Source organism: Homo sapiens, chromosome 17, assembly GCF_000001405.40.
Source record: "Homo sapiens chromosome 17, GRCh38.p14 Primary Assembly".
Taxonomy (NCBI): Eukaryota; Metazoa; Chordata; class Mammalia; order Primates; family Hominidae; genus Homo; species Homo sapiens.
This window is the reverse complement of record NC_000017.11, coordinates 81137442-81160482: the sequence shown is the minus strand read 5'-3', so window position 1 is coordinate 81160482 and position 23041 is coordinate 81137442. Positions and strand designations below refer to the sequence as shown.

Genomic DNA, 23041 nt, shown 5'->3' with positions numbered 1-23041 from the left:
CGCAGAGGAAGCCGGCAGAGGAAATGAGGGCAGCGGACGGGGCCGGAGCCAGTTCCCAGGCACCTCTGAGAACTGTCACGGGAGGCGGCGTCCTCGCCGGGTCTCCAGCCTCCCTCCGCAGGGACCGGGGCCTGGGGTCAGGGGGCTGCGGCCTTGGGTGGGGCTGGGGCGGGCTGGGGTCCTCCCGGGGGTCACTCTGGGGTTACAGCCACGGTCAGAGCCACGCGGGAGCGACACCCAGAGCCTGGTACGTGGGGGTTTCTGGGAGGATGCGGGCTGTGCTCCCACTGCCAGCCTGGGGGTGGGGGCCGTGGCCAGGAGACTCCTGCTCCTGCAGGGACCCTGCCAGCGGAGGTGGCCGTGCCAGAGCAGGCAGGGCCTCTGCAGTGGGCGATTCTGGGCAGCCGGGGCCACCTGCCCCAGGGGGAGTGAGGGGCAGGATGCTACCCCGAGCCAGGGCTGCTCAAGGCCACCTCTCACGGCGGGGCGTGGCCAGCCTATCCCCATCTCACCCTCGGGGAGGGTGTGGGGTCCCTGCTGCTGAGGGACAGGAATCTGGCTCTACCCACCTGCCAGGGTCCCCAGGAAGACCCCTCCCTGTCCCTGGTATCGGGTAGCCCTGGCCAGCTGGCCTGGGGGAGCCAGGCTGGGGGGCAGGGGAGCTGGTCCGGGACCAGGGCTCTGCCGAGTCACCTCTGTGCCAAGGCCACGGTTTGAGGCTGTGGCTTGAGGCCGTTGTGGGATGGAGCTGGGGATGCCGTCCTCGGTGTGAGGATCCTCCGACGAGGCCCTGGTGCTCGGTGGGGCCCCTCTGGCTTCCCTTCTGCTCTGCTTCTGGGAATTCTTAGTGACTCTGAACAAGGGGCCTTGGGTTCCCTTGGTACTTGGTCCTGCGGATTCTGCAGCCGGTGGGGCTTGCTTAGGGTTTGGGCTCCGCTGTGAGGCCCACGTGGAATTTCCTCGAACCCCCTGCGAAAAAGGCGTGTGGCTTCCTAGTGACCACGGCACACACAAGTGCGCTCTGACCTCCGGGGTGCGGGTCCGGGGCTTCCCCGCATTGGATTTACCCGCGCGGCAGCACGCCCAGCCCCCGAGAGTCCCCGCCACTGCCCCCAGGACTGCTACCTGGCCGGTCACTCGCAGGCCGCCGGCGCCCTCCCAGCTGCCCCATGTTGGGGATCTCGCTCGCTCTCTGTGAATGATGCTCAGTTGTGGGCTGTCCCGTGGGCTGCTATCGTGGACGCTGGAGTGAGGGCCCCTTTACTGAGAGGTAACTCACATACCAAGGACCCACCTGTGTCAAATGAGCAGCTGGGGCTTTCCTGCATTCCCAAGAGTGCAGCCATGGCACGGCTAGCTGTGGAGCATCCCTGCCCCTGACAGAAGCCCCATGCCCGAGGGCATCACTCCCCATCCCCTGCCCCCAGCCCTGGCAGCCACCGATCTGTCTCGGTCTCTGGGCCCCTGGCCTGGACGTCTGTCTCATAAGCAGGGTCCTGTGGCCTTGTCCTCTTTGGGCCCTGAGGTTTTCGCTGTGTGTATAGCGGCCCCAGGGATCAGGGGTGCTGGTGTGTGACTGTGGGGCACTGTCCAGGGAGCTTCCAGGAGGTGGTGCCATTTTGCCCCCATCCCCATGGACGAACGCCTCCATGGCTTCCCCTCCCGCCAGTGCTGGCTGCTGTTTTTATAACGCCCGGGCTCGTGAGCATGTGGGGGCTGCCCATGGTGGTCTTGTCTGCCTTTCTGTGGCGAAAGATGTCAGGAGCCTTTCCAGGTCCTGCCCAGCTCTTCTGAGCCCCTCAAGCGAGTGCCCATTGGAGGTATTTTTTGGTGGTTTGTACCTGGTGTCGGGCAGCCCTGGCCAGCTGGCCTGTGGGAGCCAGGCTCGGGGCAGTGGGCAGGTCCTGGACACAAGGCCTCAGGTCTGTGCGCAGTGAGCAGGTGGCCTGCTGCTTCACTTCCCGTGACCCTGTGCAGGGCTGAGCACCAGCAGCTTCCACCCTGAAATGGGCCGAGGTGAGAGCACTTGCGGCAGGAGCCGGCACACGCCCCGCTTTCCTTCCCAGGGAGCTGGGTGCAGACACTGACCAGCACACCGCCAGGCTCAGGCACCTTCTCTCCCTGGGAAGCTGCCTGGAATCTCTGTGGCCCAGAGGCAGGTGTCCCTGAAAGCAGCTCCTGGCCCCAGGGATGAATGACGGGGAGGACGGACCCTGCTCGGACCCTGGCTCTGGAGGCTGGGCCCCGCCCTGCTCTCTGCCGCGGGGTCTGGCGAGATGCTTGGCTGCTGCTGGAGCCTGAACTAGCGCGTCAGACTGTTTTATTTTTCCTTCTGTGACGGGCGGCCCTGCAAGTCTTGTCTAGAAATACCCGTGGCCGGCATGCATCCGCGACGCCCGGCCGCCCTGGCCATGGACCTGCCCGTTTCCTCCTTGGCAAGCCTGAGCCCAGCAGCCCCCTGCTGCTGCCCAGCCAGCACTGAGGGAGGGACTCAGTCCGTGCAGGTCTGTAGGGGGCCAGCTGGATGCCCGGCTGTGTCAGGGCCGGGGTCCTGAGACGCACAGGAGGGTAGGCCCCCACGAAGAGCGGGACCGAGGGCCAAGGTGTTGGGGGACAGTGTGCGTCGAGCAGAGACAGGCCAGGAGCGAAGAGATGGGGGCTGTGGGACCTTAGCTGGAGCTGCCTGCCCCTTGGAGGCTTCTCCACTGTCAGGGATCAGCCTCCTGGGGAACCGGGGGCATTCCAGGTGCCCTTCCCACCCTTGGACCAGCCTTGGGGTAGGCCCTGGGGCATCTGATGCTGATGCAGGCTGGGCCTGGGCTGTGTGTTGTGTCAACAGAGGGGACATTCCTTGTGAGTGTCCAGCTGGTGGAACTCACTTCCGTCCCTGGGCTGGCCTGGGCTGGGCACCCATGTTTGATTGCAGGGTTGGCTGTCGAGGGGCAGGAGAGGCGGACTTAGAGATGCTGGGGTGGTAACCCCCGGGAACTGTGCGGGGGTTCCCTGCAGCAGAGAGTAGGGCTGGTCCTAGCACTGGGGGAGGGCCGGATGCCCACCTTGGGGCTGCCAGCGTGTGCGGCAGGCATGTGCGTGGAGGGGTACGTGTGCGTCTATGAGCAAGTGCAGCCCCAGGTTGGAGGCGAGCGTGTGCATGGGCTGGTGCGGTGCCCGCGGTGTCGGATGGACCCGGCCCGGGCCCGTGGACCTTGCCATGTCCTGGGCTTGTCCCGGAAGCTTACATTTTATGTGGCCTCTCCTAAAAATAACCGTGGCTGGCCTGCATCCTCCTTATCCGTGGACATTCGGGCTCCCCTCTCTTGGCGGGGGCGGTGTCTTGTGACTTACAGCCCCTGCCCTGTCCTCACCTGCCACCCAGAATCCCACGCGGCAGATGGTGCCCACATCTGTCTGGTCTCGGGAGTGACTGTGGGGATGGTTCAGGGCTGGGCACGATGCCGCCACCAGGGCCTGTGGGGGCACCGTTGCTGTCCCAGAGGCTCCTCCTGCCCTCTCTCCCCTGTGTCGGGAGGCCTGTGGGGTCTTGCCGTACCCCGCCCAGGGCCCTGCTTCTGAGTTGGGGAGGGGGTCCTCAGTTTCGTGCCTGACTGGCGATCAGGGCCGAGGAGGGGTCTGCTGGACTGGGCTCTCTGTAGCAGGAGCTGATTGAATCCCAAAAGACACAATCCCAAGTGCCATCATCCTGAGTGTGGAAATCCCAAAAGGTCAAAATTCCAAAAACCGAATTCAGGAAAAAAATGATTTAAAAGATTCTTTAGAAGACATTTAGTCTGGGCGCGGTGGCTCACACCTGTAATCCCAGCACTTTGGGAGGCCAAGGCAGGCGGATCACCAGGTCAGGAGTTTGAGACCAGCCTGGCCAACATAGTGAAACCCTGTTTCTACTAAAAATACAAAAAATTAGGCGGGTGTGGTGGCTGGCGCCTGTAGTCCCAGCTCCTCGGGAGGCTGAGGCAGGAGAATGGCATGAACCCGGGAGGCGGAGCTTGCAGTGAGCCGAGAAGCACCACTGCACTCCAGCCTGGGCGACAGAGCAAGACTCTGTCTCAAAAACAAAACAAAACAAAAAACATTTATTTGCATTTGAAAAGGGATTTATTTGAAAAACATAAAAACTCAATAAAAATAAAAACTTCAGAGGCCACTTCACACAATAACACAGGCCATAGTAACATACATTGTAACATAGTAACATACATTGTAACATGGTAACATACATTGTAACATAGTAACATACATTGTAACATGGTAACATACATTGTAACATGATAACATACATTGTAACAGTAACATACATTGTAACATGATAACATACATTGTAACATAGTAACATACATTGTAACATAGTAACATACATTGTAACATACATTGTAACATACATTGTAACATAGTAACATACATTATAACATGGTAACATACATTGTTGCGGAAACCCTCAGGCTGCTCAGGTTACATACAGTTATGAGCAGATGAACTGTGCTCATAAATAAATGGGGAGCTCACACCTGTAATCCCAGCACTTTGGGAGGCCGAGGCAAGAGGATTGCTTGAGCCCAGGAGTTCAAGGCCAGCTTGGGCAACACGAGACCGCATCTCTACAAAAAATAAAAAATTAGCCAGGCATGGTGGTACACACCTGTAGCCCCAGCTACTGGGAAGGCTGAAGTGAGATGACTGCTTGAGCCCAGGAGTTCGAGGCTGCAGTGAGCTGTGATGGCACCGCTGCACTCCAGCCTGGGTGACAGAGTGAGACCTTATTAAAAAAAAAAAGAAATATTATAGGTCGGGCGCGCTGGCTCATGCCTGCAATCCCAGCACTTTGGGAGGCCGAGGTGGATGGATCACAAGGTCAGGAGTTCGAGACCAGCCTGGCCAAGATGGTGAAACCCTGTCTGTACTAAAAATACAAAAATTAGCCAGGCATGGTGGCGGGCATCTGTAATCCAGCTGCTCGGGAGGCTGAGGCAGGAGAATCACTTGAATCCGGGAGGCGGAGGTTGCAGTGAGCCAAGATCACGCACTGCACTCCAACTTGGGCGACAGAGTGAGACTGCGTCTCAAAAAATAATAATAATAATAATAATAGGTAAAATGTATTAAAAAGGGAGACATATGAAGCCGTGCTACTATGGTGGGTGAGCATGTGCACCTGGCCACATCACTGCGTTCGTCTGAAATACTGTGACGATGACTTAAGTCTCTTGACAAGATCCGTCAGAAACCTTGATGGTCACCGCCACACGTGCAGTCGCCCACAGAGCCAGGGTCTTGAGAAATTTTATCTTGCCCAAATGCGAATGTACGAACAGGACATCTCTTCATTTTTTGAGGAAGTTCAAGGTTTCCGTGCAGAGCGCAGCGCCGTGGTGATGCACATCCGTGGAGTCAAACACGCAAAAAGTGCAAAGATGAATGAGAACCCTCCAAAGGTCTCCACGCAGTTCACACCTCCAGCACTGGAAATGATTTGGAGATGAAGCACAGAGCACAGCGAGCTGTAAGAAGTAATGCTGACCATTTAAAATAGTGGGAAAGGGCCGAGCGCAGTGGCTCACACCTGTCATCCCAGCAGTTTGGGAGGCCGAGGCAGGCAGATCACCTGAGGTCAGGAGTTTGAGACCAGCCTGGCCAACATGTTGAAACCCCGTCTCTACTAAAAATACAAAAATTAGCCGGGTGTGATGGCGCAAGTCTGTAATCCCAGCTACTTGGGAGGCTGAGGCAGGAGAATTGCTTGAACCTGGGAGGTGGAGGTTGCAGTGAGCCGAGATTGTGCCATTGCACTCCAGCCTGGGCGACAGAGCGAGACTCTGACTCAAAAAATAAGTAAATAAAATAGTAGGAAAGGCTGGGTGTGGTGGTTCACGCCTGTAATTCCAGCACTTTGGGAGGCCAAGGTGGGTGGATCACCTGAGCTCAGGAGTTTGAGACCACCCTGGCCAATATGGTGAAACCCATCTCTACTAAAATCCAAAAATTAGCAGGGCATGGTGGTGGGCGCCTGTAATCCCAGTTACCTGGGAGGCTAAGGCAGGAGAATTGCTTGAACCCGGGAGGCGGAGGTTGCAGTGAGCTGAAATTGTGCCACTGTGCTCCAGCCTGGGTGACAGAGCAAGACTCCATCTCAAAAAAAAAAAAAAAAAAAGAAAGAAAAAACTAAGAAAAAAGAAAATTGGATTTATGAAAAAGGGTATATGGCAGGGCCAGGTGACGGGCAGTTGCACAGAGACAGTCCCTAAGAGCTGGCTGCCTCTCACTACCACATGGTGAGGCTGTGCGTTTCGACGAGTAGCTGCTTTTTTTCTCGTAGGCTGTGGCTCTCCTTGGAGAAGACGCTCACATTCATCTTCTACATGGCACTGCTCTGTTTTGTTTTGTTTTGTTTTTTGAGATGGAGTTTCACTCTTGTTGCCCAGGCTGGAGTGCAGTGATGTGATCTCAGCTCGGCTCACTGCAGCCTCCGCCTCCCAGGTTCAAGCAATTCTCCTGCCTCAGCCTCCTGAGTAGCTGGTATTACAGGTGCCCGCCACCACGCTGGGTTAATTTTTGTATTTTTAGTGGAGACGGGGTTTCACCATGTTGGCCAGGATGGTCTCGAACTCCTGACCTCAGGTGGTCCACCTGCCTCAGCCTCCCAAAGTGCTGGGATTACAGGCGTGAGCTGTCACTGCTCTTTTTGAAATTCTTCTGTGATTCAGCCCGTACTGCATGAGCATTCCTATTAGATTCTCCTGTCTTCTGTGCCACGCTTCTGTGTTGTTTGGGGTACGGGAGGTCCATTGCGCATGGGCCTCATACACAGACCGCAGATTTGGCGGAAATAGTGCTGGTGACGGAGCAACAACACCATCACAAAGCATCCTCTCATCCTGCCATACGCACGAGTATTTTCGAGCCAGTCAGTAACTTCCCCGGCTTCTTAGGGCAAATGCAGCTGTTAATTCCCTGAACGCTCCGGGGTGTCATCAGCTGGGAGGAACACCCACGCAGGCAAATGACGCATCTTTAAACGGAAGTTCCTGTCTCATCTGAATTTTCCGCCCAGTGTGTTGGGCTGAACAGAAAAGACAAACTTTATTGGTGACATCTTCAAATTGACTGTTAGAAGCCTTGATCACACCTAATTCCAAATCTGTCATGGTTTGGGGACTCTATTGAAATCCATTTTCTTCCACAAAGTCCACCACATCTTCAAATAAATGTTGATAAGGTGCTGTACTTTTCCCAGTTGTTAATACAGAAACAAGCCAGGAAAGCTCTGGAATTTCCTAATCCAACAGGGGCATGAATTGTATATAGCTGATAAAAATCAGTGGGGATGGAGGCCAGGTGCGGTGGCTCATGCCTATAATCCCAGCACTTTGGGAGGCCGAGGCAGGCGGATCACCTGAGGTCGGGAGTTCAAGACCAGCCTGGCCAACATGGTGAAACCCTGTCTCTACAAAAATACAAATATTAGCTGAGCGTGGTGGTGGACGCTTGTAATCCTTGCTACTCGGGAGACTGAGGCGAGAGAATCATGTGAACCTGGGAGGCAGAGGTTTCAGTGAACCGAGATCACACCATTGCATTCCATCCTGGGTGACAGAGCGAGACTTGGTCTCAAAAAAAAAAAAAAAATTCAGCAGGGCTGGTTTTGAAGGTGCCATCCATTAGGCAAAGTGAAGCATGCACTGGTTTTCTGTTAGATTTAATACTAAATATTAGAATCCATCTTCTCTGGTGATCAGATCCCCAAGGATAGCTCAGCTCACCGCCGAGTGTGCTTTGTAACAGGAAGGAGTATTGGTGTCAGCAAGCGTCTGTTTCTGAGGTTGCTGACCTGGTTGAATTCTTCTTCTTCTCTGACAAAGGACTTTTGTTGTGGTTTGTTGTTTTCTTGAGACAGGGTTTTGCTCTGTGGCCCAAGCTGGAGTGCACTGGTGCAATGGTGGCTCACTGCAGCCTTGACCTCCTGGGCTTAAGCGATCCTCCCGCCTCAGCCTCCCAACAAGCTGGGACCACAGGTTCGAGTCACACTGCTGGATGATTCTTAAATTTTTGTAGGGACGGGGTCTCATTATGTTGTCCAGGTGGGTGACAAACTCCTGGGCTCAAGTGATCCTCCTGTCTCAACCTCCCAAAGCTCTGGGATTACAGGTGTGAGCCACCACTCCCGGCCAAAGGATTTTTTATTTTTATTTTTTTTGAGACTGAGTCATGCTTTCTTCTCAGGTTGGAGTACGGTGGCACAATCTTGGCTCCCTGCAATCTCTGCCTCCTGGGTTCAAACGATTCTTCTGCCTCAGTCTCCCAAGTAGCTGGGATTACAGGCAAGTGCCACCACGCCCTGCTAATATTTTTTGTATTTTTAGTAGAGATGGGGTTTCACCATGTTGGCCAGGCTGGTCTCGAACTTCCGACCTCAAGTGATCCGCCCACCTCAGCCTCCCAAAGTGCTGGGATGACAGGCGGGAGCCACTGTGCCCGCCCCAAAGGCTGTTTTTTTGAAGGCAAGCGTGGCACTGCCTGTGAGGGGTTGGAAGTCTCACGTGATTGAATAATTTGGTGGGGAGATTTGTATTTTTTGCCTGTGTTTTCACTTCTTCTATGATTAAGTTGACACCCAAATCGAAGGCCACCCTTGTCAGCCTGGCCACCATGTGCATCTCCCTTGAGCACACTTAATTTCCAAATAAAGACAACCTCAGGGTCCCAGCTCTGCCTAACACGATGCAACCCTCTGGTGACTGTGATTTTGGGGATTTTAGATTTCAGGGATTTCAGCATATTCTGGATGATGGTGTTGAGACGGTGTCTTTTGGGATTATGATCCAAGCCCCTCCTTAATCACTCCCAGGGCAGTTCCAGCTCTTGGGGTCAGGGTGTCCTTTGGACACAGCCTTTGTCCTGGGAGGCTGGGGGCAGATGGGCCCAAGTGACCAGCCAGATGGGGGAGGCCGGGCCTCTGAAGAACTGGGTCGCGTGGGGGCCTGGCGTCAGGTGGCCTGCTGCCCCTCGGATGCGTCTGAGCCACAAGTGTGTGCACGCGTCCCCGGCCACGGTCCCCCCAGCCCCAGGAGCCTTGCGTCATAGAAAAGTTAATGCTTGATCCCAGGCACAGGGTCTGTCCTTTCATTTCTGGGGGATGTGGGGGAGGAGGGGTGAGGGGGGAGACAGGAGGGGTCGGTGGGGGAGACAGGTGGGGCTGGGCCTGGGTTCTGTGCAGGTGGGGCTTGGCTGACACCCGGCTTCCGTGTCTCCACCTGGAAAAGTGACTCTGTGTCTCTGCTTAGGAATTCCGTTCCTCAGAATGTTCTGTGTCTGGGCGCCTGTGCAAACCTTTGCAGGGAAATCCTGTTCCCCAGCCCACAAAGTTCTGTCTGCCTCACAGTGGTTCGTAGGGGGGCACAGAGTACCCCTTCCTCCCTTCTCCTGTCCCAGGAACCCCAAGAATCTTACTACTTCAGCCTGCAACTGAGAGGTAGGGGTATTCGTAACAGACAATGGGGACCACTCTGGGCTTCCCAGGGACACTGGCCTGACCCCTGGACATGCTGACTCCCCCAGTACCGTCTGCCCTTGACTCAGCGGCACGCCTGCCAGGGTTGCGCCAGTTCCTTCCTGCACGGGATCCTGTTTGCATCACCAGACGGGGGAAAGGGGACCCTGGTGCCAGGAGGTCCACAGATGCCCTGCCGAGGCCCACCTGCTGGCCACCCAGGCAGAGAGGCCCCTGTCTGTCTGCCTTAGGGGCCAGAGCCCGCTTCCAGCCTGCTGAGCACCCCTTGTGCCGCACCTTTCCACGTGGCAGTGCCAGGGGGAGCCTCAGGTCCCCAGAGACATTGGATGAGGAATGAGCTCTTCATGGTGTGAGCAGTGGAGGGTTCTGGCTGTGATAGGGGAGTTCCCCAGGACAGCCTGTTGTGGAGACAGTCCCTGTTCTGGGAGGATCTGGGCGGCTTCCCAGAGGGGGCATCCCTGGTGGCAGAGCACGAAGGAGGTCTGGGGGAATGGGCAGTGAGCTGCCGGGGGTACTGAGGAGTAGGATGGGGGAAGCATTGGGATCAGGGGGAGCCCTAGGATGGGGTGGGAGCACTAGGATGGGGGAGTCCTAGGATTGGGGGGGAGCACTAGAATGTGGGAGTGGGGCGCCTGTCCCCACCCAGCGTTGACAGAGGGATGTCAAACTGTTCACTTAAAAAAATGTATTGAGGTATAATTCACATAACACAAAATAACCATCTTACAGCAAACAGCTCAGGGGCTTGTAGAACATTCACCAAGGTGTGGAAACCACCACTGCTTCTAGTTCCAGAACATTCTCATCAGCCCAGAAGGAAGCCCCGCACCCATCAGTGGTCCCTCCCCATCCCCCTCCCCTCAGCCACCCACGCACTTTCTGTGTCTGGATTTGCCTGTCTGGACACCGAGTATCCACAGAGCTGTGTGCTGTCCCCGCCAGAGGCACCAGGCTGGTCCGCAGTGGTCCCACGGCAGCATGAGGACTCACTTGTTATTTCCCATTAAAAAAATCATGGCCCTCCTCATGGGTCAGCTGCTCACCTTCCTCAGGGGCTTGAGCTGTCGGACCAGAGGGACATGCCCCTCCAGGTAGACTGGGGAAACTGAGGCACCGGGCATTTTGAGGCTGGGCTGATGGGGGCTGACTGCCGTTGCAGCGGGGGTTCCTGAGTACCCTGTGCCTTGGGCCCTGCCTCCGAAGAAACCCTGGACAAGCAGAGAGCCCGGACAGGCGTGAGCAGGGGGCAGAGCTCATGGGGGCACAGGCTCCAGGCACCCAGGGCTGTTGTGAGCCCACGGCCATGGGAGCCAAGCCCAGGGTGGGCTGGGGGTGCCGCGGGCAGTGCTTTTAGAAGTGGCTGTGATCTAGGTCAGGAATGGCCATGGTGGGTGACGCTGCAGATCCCCGGGGAGGCGTGAGCAGGGTCCTCCTGGGCTAGTGCCTTGGGGTGGAGGTTGGAGGCCTGTGAGGGGCTGGAGGATGTGGAGAGAAGACAAGGGATTGGAGGTTGGGTTTCCTCAGGGGGCTGGGGTGTGAGGGTGGGGGAAGGGGTTAGGTTTCCCACAGGCCGGGGAGGGCAGGAGGCAGGACCGCATGGGGAACTAGCCTCAGCTGTGTGTGGTTGGGAAACTCCAGGGCAGTCCGATGGAGGTGTTGGGTGTGGGCGGTGGCCACTGGGCCTGGTGACGGGGCTGGAGGCTGTGGTGGTGGGTGATGTGCTGGGGTCAGGGAAGGGAACCTGCACCAGCTCAGGGGAGGAGGGTCCAGCCCGGGATGGGTGGGCTGCGGACAATGGAGGGGGTGCCCAGAAGCTGGAGGAGGCTGGCGGGGCTGCCCCGGCCCCGGAATGCAGCTCTCGGGATGGCCATCCCTTTTGCTCACCAGTCATGGGACGCATTCAACCCAGAGCTCGGCCAGGGTGCTCCCAGGACAGAGCCTGGGTCGCTGCCCCATCACTGGCCTGGCCAAGGCACCTCCACCCCCGGTCTCCGTGTCTCCCTCACCTGGGGACACCTCGCCAACTGCCCAACTGGGGGCTATTCCCAAGCTCCTCACTAGCAGGGTCATCTGCTCCTTGGACACTCGGGTAGGCCCCGCTGGCTCAGAGCAGGACTGTGGACACAGGCAAGGGTGTGTGCGTGAGTGTGCGCGTGAGTGTGTGCATATGCGAATCTCCATGAGTGAGCGTGAGTGGGAGCGTGTGCATTTGTGTGTGTGCATGTGTCTGAGAGCACGTGTGTGTGTGTGTGCAAGTGTGTGCCCGTGTGTCTGTATGCTCCTTCCCTCCCTTGCCCCAGGTGTGCCGCAGGCACCTCAGGGCGTTGGTGTCCCCTCCCACACTGTATCCAGTGCCTTCCATTGGGGGAACCCCCGGGGCTCATCCCCAGGTACCTCATCCCGGAGCCATGTGTGGCTTCAAGTCCAGCCGGTCGTTCTAGAGGCTGGTACTGGTCCAGCGGACGTTCCCTGTGAGCTGGCCTGGGCTGTGGTCTTGAGCAGGAAGGGTCCCTGTGGACGGGGGTGGGCTCCTCCAAGGACCACATCAGGCGCTTTGCAAGATGCCGGGGGTGTTGGGACAGCATGTCAGGGTGGAGGAGCAAGTGGGAGGCTGAGCGTGGTGGGGGCAGCAGAGAGTGGACGGAGACCCCAGGGCAGGTGGCCATTCTGCGTCCAGCGCGGCTCTGTAAGGGCAGCAGTGATGGGATCAGGTTTGAGTGATAATCAAATACAATCATACATCGTCTGATTCTAAATGCAGTGCATGCTTGTTGTAGAAAACGTGCAAGTACAGGATGCAACCAGCTGGATTTCTACCTCCCAAGACAAACTCTTCACGCTTTGGGGTATTTTTTCCCAGCTTTCTTCTGTTCTTTTTTTTTTTTTTTTTTTTTTTTTGACAAAGTTGTGATCAGGATTTGTAAATAGTTATATGTCCTGCTTGTTTCTACCCTTACTGAGGGTAGAAGGAAGAGAACCAAACGGCGCATGGTGACCGTGTGTAATTTCACTAATTCTAACATCTGTATATGAGACGTCAAAGCTCATCAAATATGTATATGCACATCTGTCTATACACCAGGCCCTACAGTCACGATGACACGTTTCCCTCATGCCCTGGTCCTGGGAGTCCTGCACGTCCTGCTTCTTTTCCTTAGCATAACGTCATTGATATCTTCCCGTTTGTTTAAAACACCTTCTTTTCTTTGAGACAGGGTCTTGCTCCATCACCCAGGCTCGAGTGCAGTGGCATGACCTCAGCTCACTGCAACCTCCACACCTGGGCTTAAGCGATCCTCCGACCTCAGCCTCCGGAGTAGCTGGGACCACAGGTGTGTGCCACTATGCCTGGCTAATTTTATTTATTTATTTTTTAAATGGGGTTTCGCCATGCTGGCCAGGCTAGTCTCAAACTCTTAAGTTCAAGCAATCCGCCAGTCTTGGCATCCTGGGATTACAGATGTTAGCCACCTTACCAGGCCTAAAACATAGTCTTAAATTCACTTTTTATGGCTTATTTTGCAGATATACCATTGTTTTTATTTCATCATTCTTTCACTGTTGAACATTTAGGCTCTTTTTTACTTTTTTTTTTTTTTTTTGAGATGGAGTCTCGCTCTGTCACCCAGGCTGGAGTGCAGTGGTGAGATCTCAGCTCACTGCAACCTCTGCCTTCCGGGTTCAAGCGATTCTCCTGCCTCAGCCTCCCGAGTAGCTGGGACTACAGGTACCTGCCACCACGCCTGGCTAATTTTTGTATTTTTAGTAGAGACAAGGTTTCACCGTGTTAGCCAGGATGGTCTCGATCTCCCGACTTCGTGATCTGTCTGCCTCGGCCTCCCAGAGTGCTGAGATTACAGGCGGGAGCCACCAGGCCTGGCCTCTTTTTTGCTCTTATAAATACCACTGCAATGAACATCTTTGTGCAAATAGCTTTTTCCGTCTGCGGCGTTCACTTTCTCATTCCTTACTTTATTTTTATTCTGGATGCGTGTGCCCTCTAGGTTATTTTCTTAGTGTAAATTTCCAGACATGGAATTACTTGGCTGGAGAGAAGGCAGGTCCACAGGCTGTTCTGATTTAACATCCACCAAACGGCCTGGGCAGCCGGTTCTGATTTACTGGCTTCTACAAACTCCCGCTGTCTGGAAACTGGACATGTTATAATTTTGCATTTCTTTATGATCAAGGCTGAACATTTTCTCACGGATTGGGCAGTTTGGTTTTTTGTTGTTATTTGTTTTGAGACAGCGTCTTGCTCTGTCATCCAGGCTGGAGTGCAGTGGTGCGATCTGGGCGGCTCACTACAACCTCTACCTCTTGGGTTCAAGCCATTCTCCTGCCTCAGCCTCCCGAGTAGCTGGGACTACAGGCACCTGCCACCATGCCCGGCTAATTTTTGTATTTTTAGTAGAGACAAGGTTTCGCCATGTTGGCCAGGCTGGTCTCAAACTCCTGACCTCAAGTGATCCACCCACCTCGGCCTCCCAAAGTGCTGGGATTATAGGTGTGAGCCACCGTGCCCTGCCGGGTTGGGCAATTTGTATTTCCTCATTTGTGAGCTGACTTCACGTAGTTTGCTTGTTTGTGGTTTTTGTTTTTGGGACAGGGTCTCTCTCTGTCACCCAGGCTGCGGTCCAGTGGCTCAATCTTGGCTCACTGCAACCTCCGCCTCCTGGGCTCAAGTGATCCTCCCACCTCGGCCTCCTGAGTAGCTGGGACCACAGGTGTGCATCACCACGCCCAGCTAATTTTTTCTTTTTTTTTTTTTTTTAATATGGAGTCTCGCTCTCTTGCCTAGGCTGGAGTACAATGGTGTGATCTTGGCTCACTGCAACCTCCACCTCCTGAGTTCAAGTCATTCTCCTGCCTCAGCCTCCCAAGTAGCTGGGATTACAGGTGTCCGCCACCACGCCCGGCCAATTTTTGTATTTTTTTGTAGAGAAGAGATTTGGCCATGTTGCCCAGGCTGGTCTCGAACTCCTCACCTCGAGTGATCCGCCTGCCTCGGCCTCCCAAAGTGCTGGGATTGTGGGTGTGAGCCACCGCGCTCAGTCTTGTTTATGTTTGGGGTCTTAACGTATTTGTTATTTTTTACTGATTGTGTGCTCTGTGTAGTCATGACATCAGCTCTTCGACATATTTTCTGTAAATTGCTTTTTTCGGTTCGCTGTGTGCCTTTAATTTGAGGGCTTTTATCGAACACCCTTTTTTTTTTTTTTTTTTTTTGAGATGGAGTTTTGCTCTCGTTGCCAAGGCTGGAGTGCAATGGCACGATTTCCGCTCACTGCAACCTCCGCCTCCCAGGTTCAAGCAATTCTCCTGTCTCAGCCTCCCGAGTAGCTAGGATTACAGAAGCATGCCACCACGCCTGGCTAATTTGTGTATTTTTAGTAGAGACGGGGTTTCATCATATTGGTCAGGCTGGCCTCAAAGTCCTGACCTCAGGTGATCTGCCCACCTCAGCCTCCCAAAGTGCTGGGATTACAGGCGTGAGCCACTGTGCCCAGCCGGAACAGACATTTTTACGGAGCCAAAGCCTTCAATATTTTCTTTTGCGATCCCTTCCATTGCTTTTAGCTTACAAATCCTTCTCCATTCAGAAATCTAATATTTACCTATTTTCTTTTAAGATGCTGTAATCTATCTTAGAATCATTTAATCTGAAGTTATGCAGTCAGGCTATTTTTTTCTTTTTTCTTTTTCTTTTTCTTTTTTTTTTTTTTTTGATGGAGTCTCACTCTATCGATAGCCCAGGCAGGAGTACAGTGGCACAATCTTGACTCACTGCATTTTCCACCTTGGGAGTTCAAGCGATTTTCCCGCCTCAGCCTCCTGAGTAGCTGGGATTACAGGCACCTGCCACCACACCTGGCTAATTTGTGTGTTTTTAGTAGAGGCGGAGTTTCACCATGTTGGCCAGGATGGTCTCGAACTCCTGACCTCAAGTGATCCACTCACCTCGGCCTCCCAAAGTGTTGGGATTACAGGCGTGAGCCACCGCGCCCGGCCTGAAGTCAGGCTTTTCATGGAGTGTGGAATCCTCTGCGTGGCCAGGCCCAGATTTTGGTGGGTTTGTGCCCCAGCACTGTGAGGTTCTAATTATTGTAGCTTTTGACGCTGGAAGGGCAGATTTCCTGTCTGTGCTTTCTTTTTCCACGCTGTTAGCTTCTTTCACCCGGGAGCTTCATCTAAGGCAGTGTCTTTAATGGGCACCAGCACGCTGGACTTCGTAGCTTGTGATTCACAGGAGCGAGCTGGGCTCTCAGACTCTGCCACACTCTCCGGTGTGGATTTGATGAAGACAGAAGCTTTAGTAACAGTGAAGGCGAACTCCTCCCACGCTGGAAATGTGAATGGCCGGGGGTGCGGCACTGAGAGTGGGTGGGCGGCTCTCAAGGGAGCCCTGTGGGCTCCTGCGGGCCCCCTGCCCGGCCCCCTTGCCCCTCCATTGTCCCAGCTGCAGCGGCCCCGCCTGGGGGTGCCTCCAGGGGCCACTGTGTCCTCTCGGCCACCCACAGGCCTGCTCTTCCCTGATGATGTGGCCACCCTCTCCCCAGGGTCCTGGCTACCTTGCCCCAGGTGTGAACACCCGACCAGCACAGAGCGATGGGGAGGGCAGTGTGGGGCTGGGACAAGGGGCCTTGACCTTTACCCCCAGGCTCCTATCTGCAGCTTTGCTGATCCTGATCCATTTGTTTGTGTGATTTGGGGACATTTTGGGGGCATTTTTGGGAGGTGTGGGCCAGGCTGGGTCTGTGCAAGAGACGCTGGCTGTTGGTGCCACAAAAGGTGAAAGAGGCTGCCTCGGGGAGGGGAGTGAGCCCCAAGTTCCTGGAGGGGTGCACTTAGCCACTTAGCAGGAAGCTTCCTGAAGGGCCGAGCGGGGACAGGGGTGGGGGCAGAGAGCCACACCTTATGTGCTGGCCACCCTGGCCACCCGTCCCTGCAGGAAGGCAGCTTGGGTGGAGGAAGCATGCAGGGGCAACCCTGGGCACCGTGCTCACCCTGGGTGCACCTGCTGTTGTGGGGGGAATGGCTGGGAGCCTTGGAACCTCAGACTGAGCTAGCATGTGGGGGTCACGCCCGCACCCACGGGGCATGCATGCCAGGCACACCCGACGGGTGAGCAGAGCCTGGAGCCCCGGGCAGGCAGGGCCCAAGGTTCCAGAAGAGGCAGTGTGGGTGGAGAGAGTGGAGGCCTCGCCTTACCCCGTGGGGATCACACCCCATGGCCACCCACCGTGGGGCCCCTGGACTCCACACAGTCCTGGCCTCATCAGGGGTGGGGATTGCTAACTGTGGGGCGACGTGCTGAGGAGAGAGGCTGTGAAGCCAGAGGGGTCGAGGAGGCTGGAGGACCAGGTGTGGCCACGGGAGGCGGGGCTGCATGGCTGGGGGAATTGGGGCTGCGTGGACACGGGGGGTGGGGGCTGCATGGCTGGGGGAAGTGAGGCTGCGTGGACACGGGAGGCAGGGGCTGCGTGGACACAAGGGGTGGGGGCTGCATGGCCCCAGGCAGAGCTGGATGGGGTTGAGGGGAAGTGCATTTGGACCCAACACAGAAAACTTACTAGCTCTTGGCTTTGACCAGGGCCACCCTGTGCTGCAGTGAGCACCCGGTCCTAGGGACAGCCCTGTAGAAGCTGGGCCAGGTCAGGTGACGTGTCCTGGGACTCCAGGGTCCCGCACAGGCTGCCTGGGACCTGGGGCTGCTGCAGGCGGCTTCCGCCTGGGACGTGTGCACGTTGCGGGGGTGGGGGCTCATCGAGCCAGGTGTGGCCAAGGGCTTGGGCTGTGGGGCCACTCTCAGGCTCAGCCAGGCCACTCTCGGAACTCTCCCGTGGCCTTCGAGGGAAGGCCGTGTGCCGGCAACGCTGCGGACGGCAGCACCCCAAGCTGGGATCCCCCAGCTCTGTGCTGAGTAGGCGCCATCCTGGACCACGCCTGTGTTTTGAGCTCAGGCCACGCTGTGCCTGGAGCTGGCCTCCCTGTTCCTCTGTGTGTGGCCCAGAGTCCCAGGAGCCTCCTGTCCTTTCCACTGCGTGTGTAAAATGGCTGAGAGTGCCACCTGGTGGGCGTGAGGGTCACGCCGATGATGCGTCCACACCTCCGTGGATAGGGTGGTTACAAGTCAAGTGGACTTTGGGGGACGGGGACAGGGAGGCTGGCTGGCTGGGGCGGGGGTGGGGCTGGGTCCTTACTGCTCAGGGAGGCTCACAGGTGAGAAGCCACTCCCAGGAGGGTGGGACTGACTCAAAGCCGGCAGCCTGTTGTGGGGGTGTCTCCACCCCAAGCACCTCCTTCTCTTCCCTGCTCTTGGTCCCCTGCCAGCTCCCTGTGGCTGGCTCTGCCTCTTCCCACCCCAACCTCTCAGCAGAGCCAATGCTCCAGAGCTGGACAATGGCCAAATAGACATTAACTTTGAAACTGGAGGCCAAGGCGGGAGGATTGATTGAACCCAGGAGTTTGAGACCAGCCTGGACAACATAGTGAGACCTGTCTCTACAAAAAAATGTAAAAATTAGCGGGTGTGGTGGTGCAAGGCTGTGGTCTCAGCTACTTGGGAGGCTAAGGTGGGAGGATTATTTGAGCCCAGGAGTTTGAGGCTGCCATGAGCCGTGATTGCACCACTGCGCTCCAGCCTGGGTGACAGAGCAAGATTCTGTCTCAAAAAAAAAAAGAAAAGAAAAAAGAAAAAAAAGAGCGGGCCTGGTAGCTCATGCCTGTAATCCCAGCATTTTGGGAGGCCAAGGTGGGTGGATCACCTGAAGTCAGGAGTTTGAGACCAGCCTGGCTAACATAGTGAAACCCCATTTCTACTAAAAATACAAAAATTAGCCGAGGGTGATGGTGGCAGGTGCCTGTAATCCCAGCTACTTGGGGGGCTGAGGTGGGAGAATCACTTGAACTGGGGAGGTGGAGGTTGCAGTGAGCTGAGATCATGCCACTGCACTCTAGCCTGGGTGACAGAGTGAGACTCTATCAAGGAAGGAAGGAAGGAAGGAAAGGAAGGAAGGAAGGAAGGAAGGAAGGAAGGAAGGAGAGGGAGAAAGAGAGAGAAAAAAGAAAGAAAGAAAAAAAGTAAGTAACTGCTGGCACTAGAGGCCTCTAGGGTTAGCCTGGGCAGAGTCCTTGAAGCTGACCTGGACCTGCCCCCAGCGCGTCCAGCCACGTGTGCACAGCAGATGTACCCTCACCACCCCACCTTGGGACCAGCTGGTGCCAGGCCTGAGCCACTGCATCTGAGCATGTCTTTGAGGACTGATGGCGGCCCTCTGGGGACCTGCCCAGCCACCAAGCTTTCCATGGCACCCCCACCCTTGCTGGGCCTGTCTTGTGTCCCAGGAGGCACAGGGGTTGGGGGCAGACACCACAGAGGCTTTGCTGGGGAGCCCCTTGGAAGGGCTGTTGCATGAGTTTCCTGTGGCCACTGATTACAGATTTCATGGAGTCTATTATCGTAGGTTCTGGAAGTCAGAAATTGAAAGTCACTTACTTTCTTTTCTTTTGGGGGGGACAGAGTCTCTGTCGCCCAGACTGGAGTGCAGTGGCTCAATCTCAGCTCACCGCAACCTCCGTCTCCTGGGTTCCAGCAATTCTCCTGCCTCAGCCTCCCAGGTAGCTGGGATTACAGGCACACGCCACCATGCCCGGCTAGTTTTTTGTATTTTTAGTAGAGACGGGATTTCACCACGTTGGCCAGGCTGGTCTTGAACTCCTAACCTCAGGTGGTCCATCCATCTTGGCCTCCCAAGTGGTGGGATTACAGGTGTGAGCCACCGCGCCCGGCCGAAAGTCACTTTCATGGGCTATAGTCAATGTGGTGGAGGCTGGGCTCTGGGGAGAGTCCACCCCTGGCCTTTCCAGCCCCTTGCATCCACGGCTCCTAGCCCCCACGGCCCCACGGCTCACGGTCCCCATGGTCCCCACGGTCCCCACGGCTCATGGGCCCCACGGCTTACGGCCCCACAGTTCACAGTCCCCACGGCCCCACGGCTCACGGTCCCCACGGCTCACGGCCCCATGGTCCCACGGTCCCACGGCCCCACGGCCCCACGGCTCACAGCTCACGGTCCCCACGGCCCCACGGCTCACGGCCCCACAGCCCCACGGCTCACGGCCCCACGGTCTCCCGGCCCCACGGCTCACAGCCCCACGGTCTCACGGCCCCACGGTCTCACCGCCCCACAGCCCCACGGCTCACGGCCCCACGGTCTCCCGGCCCCACGGCTCACAGCCCCACGGTCTCACCGCCCCACAGCTCAACGGCCCCACGGCCCCATGGTCCCCACGGCCCCACGGTCCCCCGGCCCCACGGTCTCTGATTCTGCAGTCACTTCTCTCATCTCCAGTTCCTGCCTCCCTCATCCAAAGACCCTCGGGATGACCCTGGCTTGCCTGGCAATCCGGGCTAATGGCCCCGCCTCACGTCCTTACCTAAATCCCGCCTGCAAAGCTCCTTTTGCCATGCAAGGCACCCAGAGTCTCAAGTTTCGAGGATCGGGAGGTGGACAGCTCTGGGAGCCGTTGTTCTGCATACACCAGGTGCCCCCTTACCAAATCTGGGGCAATTTGAGAATCAAACTAAACAATTACAGTAACACATTACAGCTCATTGGAATGAAAAGGAGTGCCTAAGTGTGACGTAAATAAATGGGAATGATAGTGTCTTGAGCACTGATACGAAAAAAGCAAGTGGGGGTGAAGGCCCTGCCTTCCCTCACGGCAGAGTGCACACCAGGAGACGCAGCAGGAACAGTAGAAACAGTCACCAGCCAGGCCCGGTGGCACGTGCCTGTCACACCCATCATCCCAGCTACCCGGGAGGCTGGGCGGGGAGGACTGCTTGAGGCCAGGAGTTCCAGGCTGCAGTGAGCTGTGATCACCCCACTGCATTCCCATCTGGACAACACAGACCCCATCTCTAAAACAAAAAGAAATAGAGTCATCCTTTGGGGGTCCTGAGGGTGGCTGATTCAGGGCCAGTGGACAAGGCTGGTGGACAGAGGACTCATGGGCTGTGACAGTCCTGGTGCATTTTACCCACCATGGGTGAGGCCCTGGTTCCTTGTGTGGACAGTGGCCTAAGAAGCCACAGCCTGGACACGTGTGTGCATGCTGGTGTCACGGTGTATCCACTGCAGGCTCACATAGGCACCCTCCAGCCCAGTTGCAGAGGAGGCAGAACTGCCCCCATTCTCACCATGGCCAGGGGCACAGCCTCAGCAGCGCAGTGGAGGGCTGGGGCATCAGCAGGGGTCACCAGGGTTGGAGGGTGTGCTTTGAAGTGACCTTTCAGTGCAGCTACTTGGGCTCTCATAAGGCCTGCGGGAGGACCAGGGACCGCGGTATGGCCAGGCCAGGCTTGGAAGAGCCTGGGGGCCGCGCAGCATGTGTGGCAGCAGAGGGCCGGGCTTGGAAGAGCCTGGGGGACACCATGCAGCTTGTGTGGTAGCAGAGGGTTGAACAGTGGGATGCTGGTTTAAATGGGCTTTCAAGAAGTTTCAGAAACAAAGCCGTGTGCAACTTGTGTCTTCCTGGGCACGGGTTTCTGGGCTGAGGTCCCAGGTACCCCTTCTCGTATTTGGGAAGAGTGCGGCATTAATGAGAGGGACAGGCAAGCAGACCCTACAGAGGCCTCCCCACCTGCTAGTGGGGGCTGGTCCCAAGGAGATAAGTGGGGCCTCCCACGTGGCTTGTGGAGGGGCAGGCATGGCATCTGGAGCAGGGCAGTGGAGCTGGCAGAGCCAGGCCACCCTTTGGGTGTGCTTGTGACATCACTGAGCCTCAGTTTTCGTACTTGTAAAGTGAGGATGATGATACCTACTGAGCAGGCCAGTAGTGGGGACTGAGCCAGGGGATGTGTGTGCACATGTGTGCATTCATGTGTGTGCATGTTTGCATGTGCGGGTGTGTGTGCCTGTGGGTGTGCACACGTGTGGGTGTGTGGGGTGCGTGCATGCGTGTGTACGCACGTGTGGGTGTGGGTGCGCGCGCACGTGTGGGGGGTGTGCATGTGTGTGTGCCTACACGTGTGGTATCTGTCTACGCATGTGTGGTTATATGTGTGTGCGTGTATGGGTATGTGTGCACATGTGTGCGTGTTATCTGCACGCGTGGGGGTGTGTGTGCGCTCACGTGGGTGTGCACGCGCAAGTGGGTATTGTGTGCACATGGGTGTGTGCGTGCATGTGGGTGTGCATGCGCGTGTTGGTATCTGTGTGCGCGCATGTGTGGGTTTGCGCGTGTGGGTATCTGCGTGCTTGGGTGTGTGTGGGTGGGTGTGCATGTATGGATATGTGTGTGGGTATGTGTGGATGTGTGGATATGTGTGTGGGTATGTGTGTGTGTTGTGCGTGTGGGTGTGCACGTGTGTGGGTATGTGCGTGTGGGGGTATGTGTGCACGTGTGTGCACGCGAACGTGTATGTGCACGTGTGTGGGTGCATTGTGTCTGCACGAGGGTGTGTGTGCATGCATGTGTGCATGTGGGTGGGTGTGTGTGCACATGCATCTGTGGGTGTGTTTGCATGTGTATGGGTATGTGCACGCACGTGTGGGGGTGTGTGTGCACGTGTGCCCGTGTGTCCATGGGAGTGTGTGTGCGTGGGTATGTGTGGGTGTGCATGTGTGGGTATGTGTGCACGTGTGTGGATATGTGTGCACATGTGTGGGTGGGTGTGCACGTGCATGTGGGTATGTCTCTGTGCATGTGTGTGGGTATGTGCGTGTGGGTGGATATGTGTGCATGTGGGGGTGTGTGTGTGTGTGCACGCATGTGTGGGTAAGTGTGTGTGTGCATGTGGGCGTGCGCGTATGTGTGCATGTGTGTGTGGGGTATGTCTGTGTGCACACGTATGTGTCCGCGTGTGTGCACACAGGTGTGGGTCCGGGTGCACGGGTGTGGGTCTGTGTGCACGTGGGTGTGGGTTTGCGTGCATGTGGGTGCGTGTACGTGTGTGGGGGTGTGTGCACGCGTGTGGGTGTCTGCGTGTGTGTGGATGTGTGCGTGCGTGTGGATGTGTGCGTGTGGCTGTGTGCACGTGTGCCCGTGTGTATGTGCACGTGGGTATATGCCTGTGCGGGTATGGGTGTGCACACGTGTGATATATACACATGCATATGTGTGTGTGCATGTCTGTGCATGAACGTTCATGTCTTGGCCTGTGTATAGTGTGTGCACATGGTCACACGTATGGTTGTATGCATGCTACGTGTGCATGTATGTTTCGCGTTGTCATGAGGTGTGTGTGCATGTGTGTTTCATGTGTTTTCATGCATGCACATACGTGGGCATTTGTGTGCTGGATTGTTACAACAAGTGTCATGGTTCCCAGGGCACTAGTCCTGGCCCTTGGCATCTGGGGTCAGAGCCTGGTCTGTCTTACAAGCTGACAGCCAGCGGGGCCCAGGTAGCAGGTGCCTCTGATGAGGGCACAGAGAAGGCTCCAGGAATGCAGAGGCGGCGGTGGGTGCACTCGGCTGTGGGTGCCAGGGTGGCCGAGAGCAGGTGGGCCTG

General features: G+C 56.4%; 1 protein-coding gene and 1 long non-coding RNA gene across 2 annotated transcripts in view, besides 2 other annotated features; one reads left to right on the top strand and one right to left on the bottom strand.

Annotated features, from left to right (window-relative positions):
- Positions 1-23041, top strand: part of AATK (apoptosis associated tyrosine kinase) — a 48927-nt gene that overhangs the window by 5739 nt on the left and 20147 nt on the right. The gene's annotated exons all lie outside the window — the stretch shown is intronic.
- Positions 10191-13553, bottom strand: LOC124904080 (uncharacterized). The gene is made up of 2 exons (XR_007065939.1): positions 11915-13553; positions 10191-10995 (listed from the first exon to the last, which is right to left on the bottom strand). It is a non-coding gene; the product is annotated as an uncharacterized LOC124904080 (long non-coding RNA).
- Positions 16876-17376: an enhancer, noted in NCBI's record as "H3K4me1 hESC enhancer chr17:79116907-79117407 (GRCh37/hg19 assembly coordinates)". NCBI's record gives its function as "activates a minimal SCP1, AML or CMV promoter by ChIP-STARR-seq in naive H9 embryonic stem cells {active_cell/tissue: H9 hESC(naive)}" and the evidence as "EXISTENCE:reporter gene assay evidence [ECO:0000049][PMID:30033119]".
- Positions 17643-17692: a silencer, noted in NCBI's record as "silent region_9117". NCBI's record gives its function as "represses an Ori minimal core promoter by ATAC-STARR-seq in GM12878 lymphoblastoid cells {active_cell/tissue: GM12878}" and the evidence as "EXISTENCE:reporter gene assay evidence [ECO:0000049][PMID:35858748]".